Source organism: Homo sapiens, chromosome 4 (assembly GCF_000001405.40).
Source record: "Homo sapiens chromosome 4, GRCh38.p14 Primary Assembly".
Lineage (NCBI taxonomy): Eukaryota > Metazoa > Chordata > Mammalia > Primates > Hominidae > Homo > Homo sapiens.
In genome coordinates this window covers 35524773-35526592 of record NC_000004.12, presented here as the reverse complement: position 1 = coordinate 35526592, position 1820 = coordinate 35524773, and the positions used below count along the sequence as shown (strand labels likewise).

The 1820-nt window shown below is 44.1% G+C and overlaps 1 annotated feature.

The window, feature by feature from the left end:
* Positions 973–1474: an enhancer, noted in NCBI's record as "H3K4me1 hESC enhancer chr4:35526741-35527242 (GRCh37/hg19 assembly coordinates)". NCBI's record gives its function as "activates a minimal SCP1, AML or CMV promoter by ChIP-STARR-seq in naive H9 embryonic stem cells {active_cell/tissue: H9 hESC(naive)}" and the evidence as "EXISTENCE:reporter gene assay evidence [ECO:0000049][PMID:30033119]".

The following is a 1820-nucleotide window of genomic DNA, read 5'->3' as shown; positions in this document are numbered from 1 at the left end:
ATGTTCAACATGGTGATAATAGTTAATAATATTGCATTGTATACTTGTAATTTGCTAAGGAAATAGATCATAATCTTTTCACCAGAGACACACACACACACACATAACTGTACGGTGATAATGAAGATATTAATTAGGTTGATTCTGATGTTCATTCCATAATGTTCATGTATATTAAAACATCAAGTTGTATATCTTAAATATGTATGACTTTCATATGTCAAAGATTGTCTCAATAGAGCAGTTAAAATACAAAATAAATAATAAGGATATTTGTTCAGATGAAGAAAGATTACCTTTAAAAGATCTTATTGTTTCTGCCTAAGAATAAATAATAAGTAGTATTAAAAAGTAAATGGTATTAAATACTATTACATAGTATTAGATAGTCAATAGTAAATAAATAGAACATAGGATCTCTGAAACATGTTATGTAATCTATGCAATTCTATGTAATCTATGCAATTGTCTGATATAAAATGGAGATGTATCGTAAACATTATTCTCACATCCTATTCAAAGTCTCCCAATTCCCTTTGGTAACGATACAGGAGGGGGAGGGAAGGGCTGGGTAGAGAAGGGCGGGGTCCCTGGCAAGGGCTCCACCATCAAGCTTGTGCACCAGACCTAACAGAGAATAGGCACTCCTGATTTCGCGCCCAAAAATTGCTTTTTCCAAGACCACTGGGGGCCGCCACGCCCCGCATCCTGTGCACATAAAAAAACCCGAGACCCTAGCAGGCACAGACACAAGGGGCTGGACGTCGAGAGGAGCAGAGGAGCAGAAGAGCACACTGACAGACGGCAGCAGATGCCAGCAGGCCATCAAGGGTGGGATGACGTGCAATTCGGCTGGGGCCAGTCGGAGGAGAATCCGGCTGCTGGGTGACCAGACTCCAGGGGAAGACCACCTTCCTACTCCATCCTCTTTCTGGCCTCCCCAACCATCTTACTGAGAGCTACTTCCACCACTCAATAAAACCTTGCGCCCATCCTCCAAGCCCACGTGTGATCCGATTTTTCTGGTACACTAGGGTAAAAACCTGGGAAACAGAAAGCCCTCTGTCCTAGCGATAAGGCAGAGCTAACTAACACAAGCCGCCTTGTCATGGCAAAACTGAAAGAGCACACTGTAACACAACTCCCACTGTGGCTTCCGGAGCCGTAAACACTCAACTCTCCACGCTGCTGTGGGGTCGCAGCCCAAAACGCTCCCCACGACCTGCCAGTCTGCACGCTCCTTATAAGGGTTTGAGCAGCAGGACGCCAAAGAAGTGAGCCGCACCCTTGTCACAAGCCCTGTGAGGCGGTTAAGGCAACTCCTCCCATTTCAATTGGTGCACCTGGGCCTAAGGATATGCAGCAGGGAAGAGAAGCACTGGCTCTTTCATTCTTTTCTTTTCCACTGCCTCTCTCTGTTTCTGCACTGGTGGCTCCTCCAAAGTTGGGTTGAGATGATAAGGAATTCATGTAAAGAAGTAAAATTCCCTATATGACTGCTACTGTGTTAATTCAAACGTCAGTAATAGCTCGATTGCAGGTGTTCACATGTTGCTGTTTTCAGGCTTTTCTATTTACATTTTTGGAAGCCACATGAAAACTTAAAAAGCCACACTTCACAGACCCCAGATGCGAAAAGAGCGTATTCATGAGAGCTGGACTCTTGAGATTCCATCCTCTACAATTCCTGAGAAGGTCACCTCGAGGTTTGGGAAGGGTCTGTAAGGCAGCCTCTTGGAGAAGTCTGACTTACCTGTAAGGATAGGAGACTATTAACTGATTATCTGCAGAACCGTTCAGGCTTAACTGAATGAATCTTC